Source organism: Homo sapiens, chromosome 10 (assembly GCF_000001405.40).
Source record: "Homo sapiens chromosome 10, GRCh38.p14 Primary Assembly".
Taxonomy (NCBI): Eukaryota; Metazoa; Chordata; class Mammalia; order Primates; family Hominidae; genus Homo; species Homo sapiens.
In genome coordinates, this window is record NC_000010.11 from 5,975,302 (window position 1) to 5,991,680 (window position 16,379).

General features: G+C 46.1%; 1 protein-coding gene across 37 annotated transcripts in view, besides 5 other annotated features; it reads right to left on the reverse strand.

The window, feature by feature from the left end:
- The window catches only part of IL15RA (interleukin 15 receptor subunit alpha), a 29,842-nt gene extending 26,402 nt beyond the window's left edge, over nt 1–3,440 (reverse strand). For 16 of the 37 annotated variants that reach the window (XM_011519474.3, XM_011519471.3, XM_011519464.3 and 13 more), the window contains exons 1-2: nt 2,968–3,440; nt 2,476–2,557 (exon numbers count right to left, since the gene is read on the reverse strand). In XM_011519474.3, the coding sequence (XP_011517776.1) occupies nt 2,476–2,557; nt 2,968–3,147 (262 nt within the window). In that variant the 5' untranslated portion in view covers nt 3,148–3,440. Of the gene's footprint in view, nt 1–2,103; nt 2,311–2,475; nt 2,895–2,967 lie in introns of those variants that run through there. The other 21 variants (XM_011519475.3, XM_011519472.3, XM_011519470.3 and 18 more) reach the window with 4 other exon arrangements.
- Nucleotides 496–765: an enhancer, noted in NCBI's record as "active region_2944". NCBI's record gives its function as "activates an Ori minimal core promoter by ATAC-STARR-seq in GM12878 lymphoblastoid cells {active_cell/tissue: GM12878}" and the evidence as "EXISTENCE:reporter gene assay evidence [ECO:0000049][PMID:35858748]".
- Nucleotides 896–975: an enhancer, noted in NCBI's record as "active region_2945". NCBI's record gives its function as "activates an Ori minimal core promoter by ATAC-STARR-seq in GM12878 lymphoblastoid cells {active_cell/tissue: GM12878}" and the evidence as "EXISTENCE:reporter gene assay evidence [ECO:0000049][PMID:35858748]".
- Nucleotides 1,866–2,245: a silencer, noted in NCBI's record as "silent region_2093". NCBI's record gives its function as "represses an Ori minimal core promoter by ATAC-STARR-seq in GM12878 lymphoblastoid cells {active_cell/tissue: GM12878}" and the evidence as "EXISTENCE:reporter gene assay evidence [ECO:0000049][PMID:35858748]".
- Nucleotides 2,336–3,005: a silencer, noted in NCBI's record as "silent region_2094". NCBI's record gives its function as "represses an Ori minimal core promoter by ATAC-STARR-seq in GM12878 lymphoblastoid cells {active_cell/tissue: GM12878}" and the evidence as "EXISTENCE:reporter gene assay evidence [ECO:0000049][PMID:35858748]".
- Nucleotides 6,385–6,679: a silencer, noted in NCBI's record as "tiled region #4656; K562 Repressive DNase matched - State 5:Enh". NCBI's record gives its function as "represses a minimal TATA promoter and a strong SV40 promoter by Sharpr-MPRA in K562 cells {active_cell/tissue: K562}" and the evidence as "EXISTENCE:reporter gene assay evidence [ECO:0000049][PMID:27701403]".

The window sequence follows — 16,379 nt, forward strand, 5'->3', positions numbered from 1 at the left end:
GATAATTACTGTCTGTGAAAAAAGCCAAACAAGAAAGAGTTCCTACCGTGTAATTCTATTTATAAAAAATTTTAGAAAGTGCATCAAATTGCCTGGGAGATGGGCGAGGTGGGAGATGAGGACTGTGCAGGGCATGAGGAAGTCTTTGGGAGTGATAGTTGTGTTCACTCTTGGTGGTGGCAGTGGTTTCATGAGTATGTATGCATTTACCTCCAAACTTATCAAAGTGTGCAACTTCAATATATGCAGTTTATTGTCGGTCAATTATACCTCAATAAGGCTGTTAAAGGGAAAAAAAACAACGGCTGGGCAAGCTGGCTCACGCCTGTAATCCCAGCACTTTGGAAGGCCGAGGCGGGCAGATCACAAGGTCAGGAGTGATCACCATGTTGGATCAGCCTGACCAACATGATGAAACCCCGTCTCTATTAAAAACACAAAAGTTACTGGGCGTGGTGGCGATCGCCTGTAATCCCAGCTACTCAGGAGGCTGAGGCAGCAGAATCGCTTGAACCCAGGAGGCGGAGGTTGCAGTGAGCTGAGATCGCGCTACTGCACCCCAGCCGGGGTGACAGAGTGAGACTCCGTCTCAAAAAAGAAAACAAGAAAGAAAGAAAAAGAAAAAGAAAAAACATTGAGAGCTTTGGGAAGGGAAGGTAGCAACATCTTTCTAAGGTCAAAGGGCAAGGCTGTGCAGCTGATGAGATCAGAGATCTCACAGTGGTGCTCCCCTATCCACTCAGTCTTCAAGGAAGACACCTCCTCTCTGCTGGGCTTTGACTAAGGCTGCATTTCACTTTCATATTGTGTAATCCAGCTGCCCCAGTTGCCAGCTATGGGGTCCTGTGACACTGCTAGCCAACTGGGAGGAACCAACCGGTCACCAACTAACTCTGCTTCTCAGATGTGGGGGGAAATCCAAGCATCAGAGTCTCATGAAAACGAAACTTCAAGAAGCCTCGCAGAGCTGGGGTGGGGGTGGCAGAGGGTGGGGGGGCGTTCAGGCCACACCAGGCAGCAGCAACTGTGCGTGGAATGGCTTTGGCCAGGGCCTGGGCAGACTGGCCCGACTGGATGTAAATTATTCAGGGTCTCGCTTAAAAACACACACAGATCATGGCGTTACTAATTCCTATAGAGAGTCCATGGATGGCCTTCAGTGGGGCTTTGACCCCAAAATCATATGCACATTTTGTAACTATGTTCATTCATGCATTTTTCTGGGGGCCGGGGGTTCATAGCTTTCATCAGACCCTCCAAGAGCTCCCTGACTATAAAAAGATAAAGAAGCGCTGACAAGGATAGAGCTAGACCCTGCTACTGTTTTCCTCCTTCCTCTGGCTGCCGGGACAAAACCCCTAGGAATCGCTCATTCCGTCCTCCCTGCCGAGATCAGAGCTCCGCGACCCGCTTTCTTCTCGAATACACCAAGCGATCACAGATCTCTTCCCCCTTTTTCTGCGAGTGTAGACTCCAGGCTGGCCCCCACTCCCCACCCCCATCCGGTCCCGACCGCCTCTGCTGGTTTCCTGATCGCTTAAGAATTGGAAGTTGTTTCCAGGTCCCCAGGTGTGCAACTTGCCCGACGCGTTTCCCCCTGGGACACAGCTCCTCCCCACCCTCCCAGCTCCCACTGACATAATTTACTTTTGCCTGGGAGTCGGGAGGAGTAGTTTCTCCCGGACCCCTCCGAGGACCGCGTGCTATGCAACACCCGCCCTGCAGTCCAGGCGCCTGGGAGAAGCGCACTCGCCCGTGTCTCCAAACTGCTGGACGCCGCCGGCTCCGCGCTCCCGTGGCCAAAACGGGCTTCTCAGAACTGCTCCTGACCTCGGCCTCGGAGACCCCAGCCAGGCCGCCCGCTCCCTTACGTGGGTGACCCGGGCGCAGCGGCGGCGCTCTCCCTGCGACCCCGGCTCCCGGCACGTGTCCCTCCTGCCCGGCGCCGCGTCCCCTCCCCGGCCTGGGCCTGCGCGCACCGCGCTCCCGAGGGCACCGACGCCCCCGCACGGCCCGGGGAGATGGGGCGCCCGGTTCCCTCCAGCTCCACGTCCCGGCCCCCTTCCAAGTCCCGCCCGGGCGCCCCTGCTCCCAGCTCCCTACCCCGCGTCGCCGGCGGCCGGAGCAGCAGCAGCAGTAGCAGCGCCGGGAGACCGAGGGTCCGGCAGCCGCGCGCCCGCCGCGGGGCCATGGCGGCAGCTCCACAGGACACCGCTGGACTCCCCGGGCGAGCGCTGCCCAGGCCGGGGGGAGGTGGCGAGCGCTGCTCTGGGACCTGCCGCCCCGCCAGTCGCATTCGCTTTCGCTTTTGCTTTGGCCCCCGAGGGCTCGGAGAGGTGCAAAGCGGTGACAGATCCGTGACTCAGCGTCCCCACCCCTGCTGGGGAAGGAGCCCCGCCGGCCGCCGCGGCACCGCACAGCCACCCCTGTCCCCGGGACGCATGGGCCGTGCCCGGTGGGGACCCAGGACCTTACCCACGCAAGCCCGGGAGCCTCCCGGTCCTCCGCGCTCGTCGTGCTCTGGGACCTCCAGTGTGCACTCGGTCCGGTGTCCCCACTGCGAAGAGAGTGGGCAAAGTCATCGGAGAGCAGACTCTCTCCAGCCCTCTCTGCGGCTCGGATCCACTTGACCTCGCCCGGCGCTGGTCGCCTCCAGCTGCTCCGCCTTCGGCTTTCCTGGTCTCCCTCCGCGGCCCTGCGCTCGGTTGTGAGCGGCCGGCCTGGGTGAGTGCCCGCGGAGGTGTCGCCGCGGTGCGGAGGCGCGGGCACCTGCCTGGTGCGCTCTGGCCCGGGCGGAGCGCAGCCCCCGCCACCTGCTGGCTCCCGCGGCCCCCGGCGCCCGCTGGGGCCCCAGCTCCGCCACTTCGCCGAATTCCTGCTGCAGCTTTGCTCCCCTAGAAAATGCCTCATCTTAGAAGGAGAGGGGGCGGAGGGGGGAGAAGGGGGAGAGGAGCCACAGTGCTTCACCTCTGAGCCTCGCTTCCTTAGGTTCTTCCAGGCTGCCATCCTCCTCTTTGGCTGGTGGGTTTTTTTCTTTCTTGGGGTCTCAAGTGAAGCCTGAGAACCGGGTCTGTAAGCTCCCAAGTGCAGATTCTCAGGTCTAGCGGTGACATTGGACAGGACGAGACATCTCCAAGCCTCGGTCATTGCCTCTTAAAATCTCACAACGTGTTTATGAGGCTTTTGTGACATACTTGCAAATTCTCTTTGAAAACGAAATAATCTGTACAATAATCCCCCAAGACACAGGTTTACCTTTATAACAAACCTGCACTTATAACCCTGAACTTAAAAGTTAAATAAAAGAATTTAGGGCCGAGCGCGGTGGCCACTCCTGAAATCCAAGCACTTTCGGAGGCCAAGGCAGGTGGATCGCCTGAAGTCAGGAATTCGAGACTAGCCTGGCCAACATGGTGAAACCCCATCTCTACTAAAAATACCAAAATTAGCTGGGCATGGTGGCGGGCGCCTGTAATCCCAGCTATTCAGGAGGCTGAGGCAGGAGAATCACTTGAACCCAGGAGGCTGAGGTTGCAGTGAGCTGAGATCGCACCACTGCACTCCAGCCTGGGCAACACAGCCAGTTCCTGTCTCTTAAATTTAAAAAAAAAAAGTAGAAAGAATAATGAACCTACCATCCGGCAGTGACCACACAAGGTCCATTCTTTTTTTCTAAGCAGGAATAGCCACCCTTACTCCAACTGGGGAAATCCCACATTATTCAATTTCTCTCAATACTTAATAATAAATCTCAAGATGATAAGATCAAATTTAAAAATTAACAATATTCCTTAATATTCTCAAATATATTGAGGGTTTATTGAATGCAGGCTAAGCATAGCATGTATACAATAGAGCATTTTTTATTCTATGGACATTTATGAAGTAGAGATTTCTCCATTATTACAGACTCTTTGTAAAAGTTTTTAATGGCTGCAAATTATCATAGTTTAACATCCCCTCTATTATTTTAATATTAAAGATAACATTGTCATAAATGTCTTTCTACAAAATCTTGTGAATTTAAGATCGCTTAGAATAGATTTCCTACAGTGGAACTATTGAGTCAACTGGTAGGGAATATTTTTAAAGGCTTTTTCTCTTTTAAACAAATATTTCTATCTTGCTTTCCAAAAGTCTTGTATCAATATACCTTCTAACTAGCATTGATTGTGTTAAAGTACCCATTTTACTGCATTCTGACCAAAAGTAAATTTTAAAATTTGAAAATAAAATTGTAAATTTGGTATGCTTAAAGAACTCTATTTCATTACATATATATACGTTGTTAAATAATGTAAATTTCAAATATACTTCGAACTATAGCAATCAATAAATATAGTGGATATCCATGAGCCTACTGCCTCATCCTGTCAAAACTTAATATGTCTGCTCAATGTTTGCTTCAGATATTTTTTGGAATAAAAAAATTACAGATAAAGTTGAAGCCCCTTTGTATTCTTGCATCTTTCTCTTCCTCCGTCTTCCACTTTCTCGCAGGTAAATGTTTCTTGAAACTGGTACTCATCATTCCCAGGCATTCTTAGGCCCCTTTTCCATGTGTATGTCCATGTGCAACGGACAGGATGGCTTACATTTTTAAAAATTCATGTGATTAAGGCTGGGTGTGGTGGCTCATGACTGTAATCCCAGCACTTTGGGAGGCTGAGGTGGGCAGATCACTTGAGGTCAGGAGTTCGAGACCAGCCTGGCCTACATGGTGAAACCCCATCTCTACTAAAAATACAAAAATTAGCAGGGTGTGGTGGCACGCACCTGTAATCTCATCTACTTGGGAGGCTGAGGCATGAGAATCGCTTGAACCTGGGAGGTGGAGGATGCAGTGAGCTGAGATCACACCACTGCACTCTAGCCTGGGCGACAGAAAGAGACTCGGTCTCAAAAAAAAAAAAAAAAAATTCATATGAACAGTACCATACAGATTGAGCACCCCTGATCTCCAAATCCCAAATCCAAAATGGTCCAAAATCCAAAACTTTTTGAGCTCTGACATTACGCCACAAGTGGAAAATTCCACACCTGATCTCGTGGGGTGGGTGGCAATCAAAACACAGGCACATAACACACTGTTTATTCAGCATCCCCAAGGGGAAAAAAGACTCTCCCAGCCGCCTTCAGCTGAGAGATATCTTTTCTGTGCATGCCCAGATTCCCCCATGCAAGCACGCACACAAAAGGTGGTAAAATGGCCTGTGTGCAGGTCGAACACACCCATGGTAGGTCCCGACAATTCCCCATATGGAGCCAAGCCCCGCCTCTGTGCACTTCTCACTGTGCTATTTTTGCTTATTCTCTGCTCTCTGGTCTAATGATGTTGAAAATGTTGGCCGGGTGCAGTGGCTCACGTCTGTAATCCCAGCACTTTGGGAGGCCAAGGTGGGTGGATCACTTGAGCTCAGGAGTTCGAGACCAGCCTGGGCAACACAGCACACCTATAGGTGTGCACCACCACACCTGGCTGATATTTATTTATTTCTAGAGATGAGGTCTCACTATGTTGCCAAGGCTGGTCTCACACTCCTGGCCTCAAGCCATCCTCCCACCTCAGCTTCCTGAGTAGCTGAGATTACATGTATAATCAGGGACATCTTTTCTGATTAGTCTCACAAACATTTTGGACCAGTGGCTTGTGTCACTGTAGGGAGGGTGGACTGGATGATGACTGCAAGATTTTGTTTTTCTTTGACAACCATTCTGCTCATCCTCCAGCTGAAACTCTCATTAAAAATAATGTTTATGCCATGGGCTTTCTTCCAAATGTGACTTCATTACTTCAGCCATGTGACCAGGGTATCCTTAGATCAATGGAGATCAATGGAGAGTAAATATGGAAACATTGCACGCTAGCAGCAGTGAACAGAGGGGTGGGTGTGGAAGTTTTCAAAAGGTGTTTAGCATGAAGGATGCCAATGCTGTTTCCAATGCTTGGAACTCAGTGACTAACGACACAGCCATGCGTGCATGGCACAACCTCTGGTCTGCGACTATGTTCAGTGATGATGATGAACAAGGTGATGACATGGAAGTATTCCATATGTGAAGTGGGAAAAAAATGATGTCTGACCTCCCTATGCAGGCAAAAAATATACCTTCAGAGTGTGTCAGCATGCTGGACGAAGTGGATATACAGGTTTTTAACATCTATACTGTGGCTCCAGTTGTTCGTTCATTGACCGATGATGAACAATGGCAAAACGGTTCTGAACCAAGGTGCTTGTGCTAACAGTGATGACGAACATAATGCTGTTATCACAGCAGAACACGCACCTGCAGGCGCCATGATGAAAGCATGCGATGGGCTCATTGAAGGACTAGAACGGTGGGTGTTCGAGGCAGGGTAAGCAAGATGAGGACCCTGTACCAACTTGTCCCCTTGTGCGAAGCCCTGAAGGACCCTTTTGCAGAGTCTTCTTTTGCTTGCAACTCTCCTGCGTCAGCACCTAGTGCTTTTGCAAGATAAGCTGCCCTACAAGATACCAGCAGATGGCCAGATGGTTACAAGTTGCTGCTGCCTGATTCGGCCCAGAAAAGAGAACAAAAGCCCCTTTCTCATGATGTAGCTTCTCCAATCTCCAGCCAGTCTGCACCAAAAGCCCAAGAAGCTATTAGCTACGAACTCCTGCCTTGGGGGTAGGAACTTCTCCAGGGTTCTGCACGTGCTCTAGGCTCAAGGTTTAGCTTATAGTGAACTTTTCCTTTTTTTTTTTTTTTTTTTTTGAGGCAGGGTCTCACTATGTTGCCCTGGCTGGAGTGCAGTGGCGTGATTCCATCTCACTACAGCCTTGAGCTCCCAGGCTCAGGTGATCCTTCCGCCTCAGCTTCCTGAGTAGCTGGGATTAAAGGCGCCTGCCACCATACCCGGCTAATTTTTTTTTTGTATTGTTAGTAGAGATGGAGCTTCACCACGTTGGCCAGGCTAGTCTCAAACTCCTGACTTCAGGTGAACCTCCTGCCTTGGCCTCACAAAGTGCTGGGATTACAGGCATGAGCCACCGAGCCCGGCCTACAGTATCGTTTAATCAGAACACAGCATCATTGATGGAGATGGAAGCCCACTGTCGTGGTTGCTGTTGTCTGTCGGCTGATCCAGGTCTCTGATGACACCACTGGGCTGCTTAGTGACCCTGAACACATTATGTTTTCACTGGTTTAATGCTATGTCATATTTTTTACTGTTAAGTACTCATGTGTGAATAAGTGTAAGAAAACGATTGTTTGTAAGGGTAGCCCATAAATTCAGAGTCAGAGTCAGGAATGGTGGTGATGCCAATCATCCGCAGATGTTCACGTGGGTGACTGCAGTGGCAACAACGTTGCTTTCTGGGCGTTCAATAGACACAAACTGTTTCATGCACAAATTATTAAAAATATTGTATGAAACTACCTTTAGGCTATGTGTATAGGGTACATATGAAACATAAATGAATTTTATATTTAGACTTAGGTCCCATCCCCAAGATACCTCATTGTGTATATGTGAATATTCCAAAATCTGAAAAAATCTGAATTCTGAAATATTTCACATTCCAAGCATTTCAGATAATGGAGACTCAACCTGCACTGTCATGTCATTCCAAAACTTTCTTTTTCCCTTAGCATTAATTTCTCCATTGATACATGTAGTGGTAGGTCATTAATTTTAACTGTTAGATAGTATTACGCCCTGTTACACCCTGCTATACTCTGCTATTATCTGCGCTATTTTCTGCCATAACTCCTAAAAGCTTCAGGTAGTGTCCAGTGCTGGTCTAGACTTTCCCTCATTGTATAAATTGAATGTTTTAGCAGGAAACTGGAAAAGACCAAGGCCAATTATTGATTTAGAATGCCATTGTACACTCAAAGGCTCTTCTTTTTTTTTTAACCTTTTTAGAAATACTGTTTCCATAAATTATTTTCACTTAGATAATTAGTCCATTACTGGGATACTTACTCTGTTCCACAGTCTCCGCCAGTTATTATAGCTCTGTCATGTTTCCAAATCTTGCAGGGGATGGTCTGCCCCGTAAGTTCCTCCTCCCCAAGGTTTCTTTGCTATCCTTTTAAAGAATATTCTTATGTTTGTTCATCCAGATGAAATTTCGAATTTTTATTTCGGATTGTCAGTTACCTCTTAAAAAAACAAAAGGATCCAACATCTTGAATTGTATTTAGATGGAAATAATACTTAATTTCATCCATATTCCATAGGGACTACTTTCCTGGGTTAAACTGATATGACTTGATGGTATCTTTAAAAAACTTTTTGTTTGGAGGTAAGTAGAGATTCTCACGTAGTTGTAATGATACAGAGAGATCCTGTATACCCTTGACTCAGTTTTCCTCAATGGTAGCATGTTGAATAGCTAAAGTACAATATCACAACCAGGAAATGACATGGATACAACATATAGACATTCGAATTTTGCCAGTGTTACATGCGTGTGTGCGTGTGTAATTCTACACAATTTTGTCACATTGCAGGCGGTTGGGTTGTGGCCCCTCCACGGCCAAGATGCAGGGCAAGATGAAGCACACCAGGCTGCCTTGTGCTGCCCTTTTATAGCCACAGCCATCCGCCTCTCTCCACTTTCCCTCAGCACCGGCAGCCACAATGCTATCCATCTCTGCAACTTTGTCATTTCAAGAACGTTTGCTATATAAATGAAATCATCCAGCGTGTAGCCTTTCGAGGTCAGCTTTTGCAAACAGTGCAATTCTCTGTAGATCCATTCAAGCTGCTGCATGGATGAACAGCTTGGTCCTTTTTAGGAGCAACATGGGAGTCTCTCTTTAGAATGTATGACCCTCCCATCCACACTTCAGCCACGCCTGGCCTTTTCTGTGTGTATTAATTTCCTAAGCCTGCCGCAACAAAGTACCAAACACCGTGTGGCTTGAAACAACAGAAATTTGTTGTCTCGTAGTTCTGGAGGCTGGAAGGCTGAAATCAAGGTGTCAGCAGGTGTCTGATGGCTCTAGGGGAAAGTCCTTCCTGGCCACATCCAGGCTATGGCATTTGCCAGCTGTCCTTGTCATTCCCTTGCCATTGCTCCTGCCACATGGCTGTCCTCTCCCTGTGTCTCTTCCCAGAATCCTGCCTCTGTGCATGTTGACATCCAAATTCTGTCTCCTTATAAGCACACCAGTCATATTGGATCAGGGCCCATCCCAGTGACCTCATTTTAACTTGATTGTCTTGGTAAAGACCCTATCTCCAGAGCCGGTGCGGTGGCTCATGCCTGTAATCCCACCACTTTGGGAAGCCGAGGCGGGTGGATCATGAGGTCAGGAGTTCAAGACCAGCCTGGCCAGCATGGTGAAATCCTGAATCTACTAAAAATACAAAAAATTGGCCGGGCAGGGTGGCGCACACCTATAGTCCCAGCTACTTGGGAGGCTGAGGCAGGAGAATTGCTTGAACCCAGCAGGCGGAGGCTGCAGTGAGCCGAGATCGCGCCACTGCACTCCAGCCTGCATGACAGAGTGACACTCCGTCTCAAAAAAAAAATAGAAATAAAAAAATAAAGACCGTATCTCCAAATAAGGTCACATTCTGAGGGTCAGGGGTTAGGACTTCAACATATATTTTTGGGTGGACACATTTCAACTCATAACAACATGACATCATTATTTTTGAGAGCAAAGTCCAGTATCTATTTTCTCAGACCAAAGGAAACGAGATGGCTTGGGAAGAGTGGGCTTCCTTGGCTGAGTGTCCACCATTCAGGAGAGACTCAGGTGGGGGTCGTTCTGGAGCTTCTCGCAGGGGACCCATGCAGGGTGGGGATCAGCTCAGCAGTCATCATTCAGAACAGAGCTGGAGGTGAGGATGAGGCTCAGGCTCTGGAAAGAAAAGTCCTAGTGACAGGGTCTTTGGCCACAGACTGTCGGCAAGATGCAGACAGAGGACTCAGCTGGGGAGGAGAGCCAGGCAGAGGGGAGGATGGCAGATGGGGCCAGGCAGAGGGGAGGATGGCGGACGGGGCCAGGCAGAGGGGAGGATGGTAGATGGATATATCAGGAAGAAGAGAGCCATGGCTCAGGTTAAGGGATTTTCTTTTTTCTTTTTTTTTGCTTTAGAATCCTAGATTTTTAAGTGGAGATATATTCATATGAAATACAATTCACCATGTTATTTTATTTTATTTTTATTTTTTGAGACAGGGTCTCACTCTGTCGCCCAGACTGGAGTGCAGTCGAGTGATCACGGCTGACTACAGCCTAGACCTCCTAGGCTCAATCAATCCTCCCACCTCAGCCTCCCAAGTAGCTGGGACGACAGGTGCACGCCACCTCGCCCAGATGATTTTTGTACTTTCTGTAGAGACAGGGTTTCTCCATGTTGCCCAGGCTGGTCTCAAACTCCTGGATTCAAGAGATCCTCCTGCCTTGGCCTCCCAAAGTGCAGGGATTTCAGATGTGAGCCACTGCGCCCTGCCGAGGTGATGCATTTCTAATGGTCACCTAGTAATGGTGTACTTGGCTTTTGACTTAGGAACAAGGGCCAGTTAGAGTCTGTAGGGGGCCCTATGAGGGAATCCAATTGCTGCAGCCAACCTGGAGACCTCAAGGCAGTGAGACTGAAGTGGGGAAAATGAAAGAAAATGAGTCGACTGACAGAAGGGGTTTTGCTTAAGAGCATGGGTATAGAAGAAGGAACTGCTTTTCGATACTCAAGTAGAAAAAACATCACATTTCCTTATTTTTGTAAATTATATCAGATATGGCTCTGAGCTTCCACTTTCCAAGATCAATAAAAATCTAATACTGTTTTTCCCTCCACTCCCCGCTATGGCAAATAAGTCTCTTCCCTTCTCTGAGGTTGTGCCAAAACCCAGGAAAAATAGAGGGAGGTAGCCTGGGCCTGGGTGGCCTTGGTCACTACTAAGCGAGTCATTGCCCAGACCCACCTTGCCCTCTGTCCTCAGCAAACCCTCCTCACTCCCCTCTAGTTAGTTAACCTCTTCCCAAATACTTTTTGCATATCCACTTATCCTCACTGACAATCTAGCCAGATTATTTTAATTAGCCTCCTTCTTCCTCCCAAAAAATGCCTATTTGGTCAGTCTCCCTGGCACCCTGCAGTCAGATAAACAAATCAACATCAAACACATAAACAGTCAGTGAACTGCATCCCTGGAGTGAAAGAACCCCAAATTCTAGAACACAAAACTGGTCTGCTCTCGGGGAAAATCACCCTTCACTTTCTTTTTTCCTGTGATGGATCTTTGAAAGGAAAAATTCCCAAGAGACCAGCCTATTTCTTGATGATTCACCCAGTTATATGAATTTGAAGCCTCCTAAGCCTCAGCCTCCAGAGTAGCTGGGACTGCAGGCGTGCACCACCATGCCTGGCTCATTTTTGTACTTTTAGTAGAGACGGGGTTTCACCATGTTGGCCAGGCTGGCCTCGAACTCCTGACCTCAGGTGATCCGCCTGCCTCAGCCTCCCAAAGGGTTGAGATTACAGGCGTAAGTCACTGTGCCTGGCCTGATTTTGAACTCAAAGTTGTTTTGCAATTGTACTTTTTAATTGGAAGCACATTCTCTCCAGTTTTTGTGTTTTATTGGCCATAAGTCTCTGTTCCTGGCACTGTGCACATGTAGAAGGCAATGATAAACAATGTCATGTGAATAAAACAGCGGCTTTGCACAATTTCAAACCTCTTCTGAGTCTTCAAGAACATCTGAATTACACCCACCACTCACTGTCAGAAGACCCTCTTTATTTTCTACCTTATTTCGTTTTTTGCTTTCTTATTTCTGTAATACCTTGCATCTCTTATGCAGAAGCCCTGTGAATATCTGCTTTTGAGCATCACATATTGTGAATGAGAATTATGAGATAGGTTTTCATAAGTTTTAAAAATAATAGTCTTGCTCTGTCATCCAGGCTGGAGTGCAGAGGCACAATTATAGTTCACTGCAGCCTTGACTTCCTGGGCTCAAGCAATCCTCCTGCCTCAGCCTCCCAAGTAGGCAGGACTACTGACGCATGCTCACTATACCTAGCTAATTAAAAAATTTTTCTGTAGAGATGAGGTCTCACTATGTTGCCCAGGCTGGTCTCAAACTTCTGGCCTCAAGGGCTTCTCCTCTCTTGGCCTCTCAAACTGCTGGGATTACAGGTGTGAGCCACTGTGTCCAGCCTGGCTTTTATATTTATGTATGCTTTACGTCTGTGTGTGTGCATCTGTATCTATATATTTATCCATGTATCTATCTCCAAATGGGTTCCTTTGGGCAAGTTATTAACTTCTCTGTGTCTTCCTTTCCTCATCTGTAAAATGGAAATAATGGAACCTACGCCATAAGGTGTTTGAGAGGATTAAATGAGTCGACAAAAGCATTTTGAAGAGTGCTTAACATGTAATAAGCTCTCAGTACATGTTAGGTATGAAATAGACAACACATACTCTATAATATGTTGTCCTTGGTAAACTATCTAAGGTGATTGTGGAGAAAGTTGTTAGCTAAAAATGTTAAGTACAATTTAGAGGTTGAAGAGTGTCTGGAGAAATATTATCTGTGATACTAAGCTAGGGCCATCTGTCCAGGCAGAACGCCAGAGTGGGGAGAAGGCGGGTGGGGAGGTCCCATGAACAGATAGTGAAGACAAAAACCCCACCCTGAGTGGAGTTCCAACAGCCGGGAGCAATGTTCCAGGTCTCTTGCTGTCCCTTCTTACAGCAAGACAATGCCCAGCTAAGATGGTAAAACTATAAAACATATTGCCCCAAGAGGAAGTGGCTTAATGTCCCCTCCTCTTTGTAATTCCCCTACTGCCATCATCCTCCTAAGAGCACAGCGTGGCCTCTTGCCCACCAGTCTCTTCCCTCACCTCACCAAAGATTGGTTGCCCTTTCTCTTCCATCTCCAAACCCTTCTCTACCTTCCTTACCTCCTGGTAAGAACCTGGGAGAAGGGAAATCTTTAAAGAGCTTTCTGCCTTCACCTTTGTTTTTTGGTTCATCTCTTAGTGATCTCAGGATAAAATGAAAGGGAAGAGTGATAGAACCTCAGGGTTTAAAAAATGTAAACCCAAGATGTATCTGGGAATTGCAAACCCAAATGCCTACAGGGTACAGGCCACAGGGTCGGGGGCACCAGACAAGAGGGAGTGGGCTGCCAGCTCTGGTAGAGTATAAGAGAGCAATGCATGTCTACTACGCTCATATTTTTAGTTTGGTTTTTTGTTTTGTTTTGAGATAGGGTCTTGCTCTGTCACACAGGCTGGAGTACAGTGGCGTGATCACAGCGCTTTGCAGCCTCTACCTCCTGGGTTTACATGATCCTCTTGACTCAGCCTTCCAAGTAGCTGGGACTACAGGAGCACGCCACCTCACCAGGCTAATTTTTGTGTTTTTGCAGAGACCAGATTTTGCCATGTTGCCCAGGCTGGTGCCGAACTCTTGGGCTCAAGCAATTCTCCCTTCTTGGCCTCCCAAAGTGTTGGGATTACAGGCACGAGGCACTAGGCCAGCATATTTTCAGTTTTTGAAGAGACTTTGAAATTATAGGTCCTTGTGTAAAATCTCTCAGTTTATAAACAGTGATTATCGTTTTAGAAAAAAGATCAAAATCCGCCCGGGTGCAGTGGCTCATGCCTGTAATCCCAGCACTTTGGGAAGCTGAGGTGGGTGGATCACTTGAGGTCAGGAGTTCAAGACCAGCCTGCCCAACAACGTGATACCCCATCTCTGCTAAAAATATAAAAATTAGCTTGGTGTGGTGATGCATGCCTGTAATCCCAGCTACTCAGGAGGCCGAGGGAGGAGAATTGCTTGAACCTGGGAGGCAGAGGTTGCAGTGAGCCAGGAGATCACACCACTGCACTTCCAGCCTGGGCAACAGTGAGACTCTGTCTCAAAAGAAAAAAAAAGAAAAGAAAGAAAAAGAAAAAAATCAAAATCCCATGCAAGTCAAAGTCAAGCCATAGCCTTTGCGACATCTGATTCATAGCAATCGTCTTTTAGCCCTGGCAACTATTAGAAGTGTTTCTGTTCCCCTACCGTGTTAGAAAATCAGAAATATTTAATTTACTTGAAATGAATTTGGTTCATGAATTTCATTTTATTTTATTTTCCTATTTATTTATTTATTTATTTATTTATTTTGAGGCAGAGTCTCACTCTGTTGCCCAGGCTGGAGTGCAGTGGTACGATCTCGGCTCACTACAGCCTCCACCTCCTGGGTTCAAGTGATTTTCCTGCCTCGGCCTCCTGAGTAGCTGGGACTACAGAAGCACGCCAAGACGTCCGGCTAATTTTTGTATTTTTAGTAGAGACGGGGTTTCACCATGTTGGCCAGGCTGGTCTCGAGCTCCTGACCTCAAGTGATCCACCTGCCTCAGCCTCCCAAAGTGCTAGGATTACAGGCATGAACCACCAGGCCCAGCCTATTTTTTTAAATTGACAAATAATTATTTATTAGTTCTTTCAAGAGTCCTTGACCTAAAATGTTAAAAATAAAATATCTACAAGGTATAACATTTTATAGATGTTATAATTTTTTAAATGTAAAAATTTATAGGCTTCTAAGTTGAACCATAAGCTATTTATGAATCTAAAACTATTTTATTTGCTTCTCTGGAGTTAGAGTCATTTCTCTCTCTCTTTTTTCGCCAAATTATTTCTCTAGCTGTCATAAACAAAGTATTTTTAAAAAGCCATCCAAGACAGCTGCTTTAAATAAATAAAATAAAGTAAACAGGCTTCAAAATGAAACTGTTTCCAAAATACATAACCAATACTAGATTTTATCTTTTTAATTTAGTTTAATTAAAAAACTTTTTAAGAGACAGGGTCTCGCTGTTTTGCCTAGCCATTCTCAAACTCCTGGGCTCAGGTGATCCTCCTATCTCAGCCTCCCAAAAAGTGTTGGGATTACAGGCATGAGCCACCGCAGCTGGCTCCAAGCACAGATTTAGAATTTGGATCCTGGTAGACTGAGGTGTCTCAGCTAAGGAAGATTGTTAGACCCAAAAGAAGGTTCATTTATTTCAGAAACTCTCTCTACATGCTCTCCCAAAAGCAATAGGCAAATTTTGTTTACTGATGCAAAGTAAATATGAAAACAAGAGATGTGCTTTATGTCTTGTGATTTAATTTAAATGGCCTTGAGAGGAGAAAATGTGCCACTCTAAACCCTTCCTCCTTCTTGCTGGTTGGAATGCAGCCATAATGACTGGAGCCCCAGCAGTCACACTGGACCATGAGGATTCTTGAAAATGGAAGCCACAAGCCATCCATAGAGTAGGAACAAGATGGAAAGAGGGTGAGTCCCTGACACCAGAAGAACCAAACCAGCCTGGTCTGTCTTTCTTTGAATTTATTGAATGTGAAGGAGAACATCTATGTTGTTTGTCATTATTTTTGTTTTTTTGGTTTTTCTCTAACAACTAATTTTTTTTCTTTTTCTTTTTAAGAGACAGAGCCTCCCTATGTTGCCCAGGCTGGTCTTGAACTCCTGGGCTCAAGGGATCCTCCCCACCTTGGCCTCCCAACATGCTGGGATTACATGGCATGAACCACCACGCCAGGCCCTAACAACTAAATTTTCTCCTGACAATATGTCTAAAAAGAGAAAATACATTTTCAATAGGCTTGGATTTTTTTCCCTTGTAGATTTCTTTTGTGTTAGCTATAGTGTTTTCATTTTCTTGCTGGAAGGAAAGACATATAGTATATTGTTTATTTTCATCAATTTTAACATACTAGTAAGCCTATCCCCACATCTTCATTACATTTTTGTGATTTAAAACAAATTTCATTATATTACAGTTATATAGAACACACAGTGATATTATATTTTTAAAGAGAAAGTTTATTATTGTAAGAAACTTAAAGTTATAATGTAATAGAAAGAACATTCATAAAGTTATAATGCATACAAGATTATTCTAAGAATTACATTATTAAAAACATATTCATATTGGGCATTTCTTCATTTAACCTGGTGAGTCTGATTTTAAAGGGAAATTCTGGCTAGTCATATTATCTACCTGGTCTAATTGATAAATTTTTATGGTTTATGTCTTTGAGGCAATGGCTGGTTGTATTACTGGTTTCTGACCTTCAATTTCCAGAGCAGATCTCTGTGGCTTTTGAAAAACACTATGTTATTAACTGGATATATTTACTCAACCATCTGTACTCTCTAACTTAGTAACACTGATACATAAAGTCCTCCTGACTTTTTCATCATTTCTGTAGAGAATTTCTTATCTCCAGATTTTCTGAAGCAGACAAAAACATACTTATGAGCTACATAATTTGCAAGGCCCAGTGCAGAAATGAAAACATGAGGTCCCTTGTTCAAAATTCCTAAGAATTTTAGTGTGGTAACAGCAGAGCATCAAACCAAGTTCAGGGCCC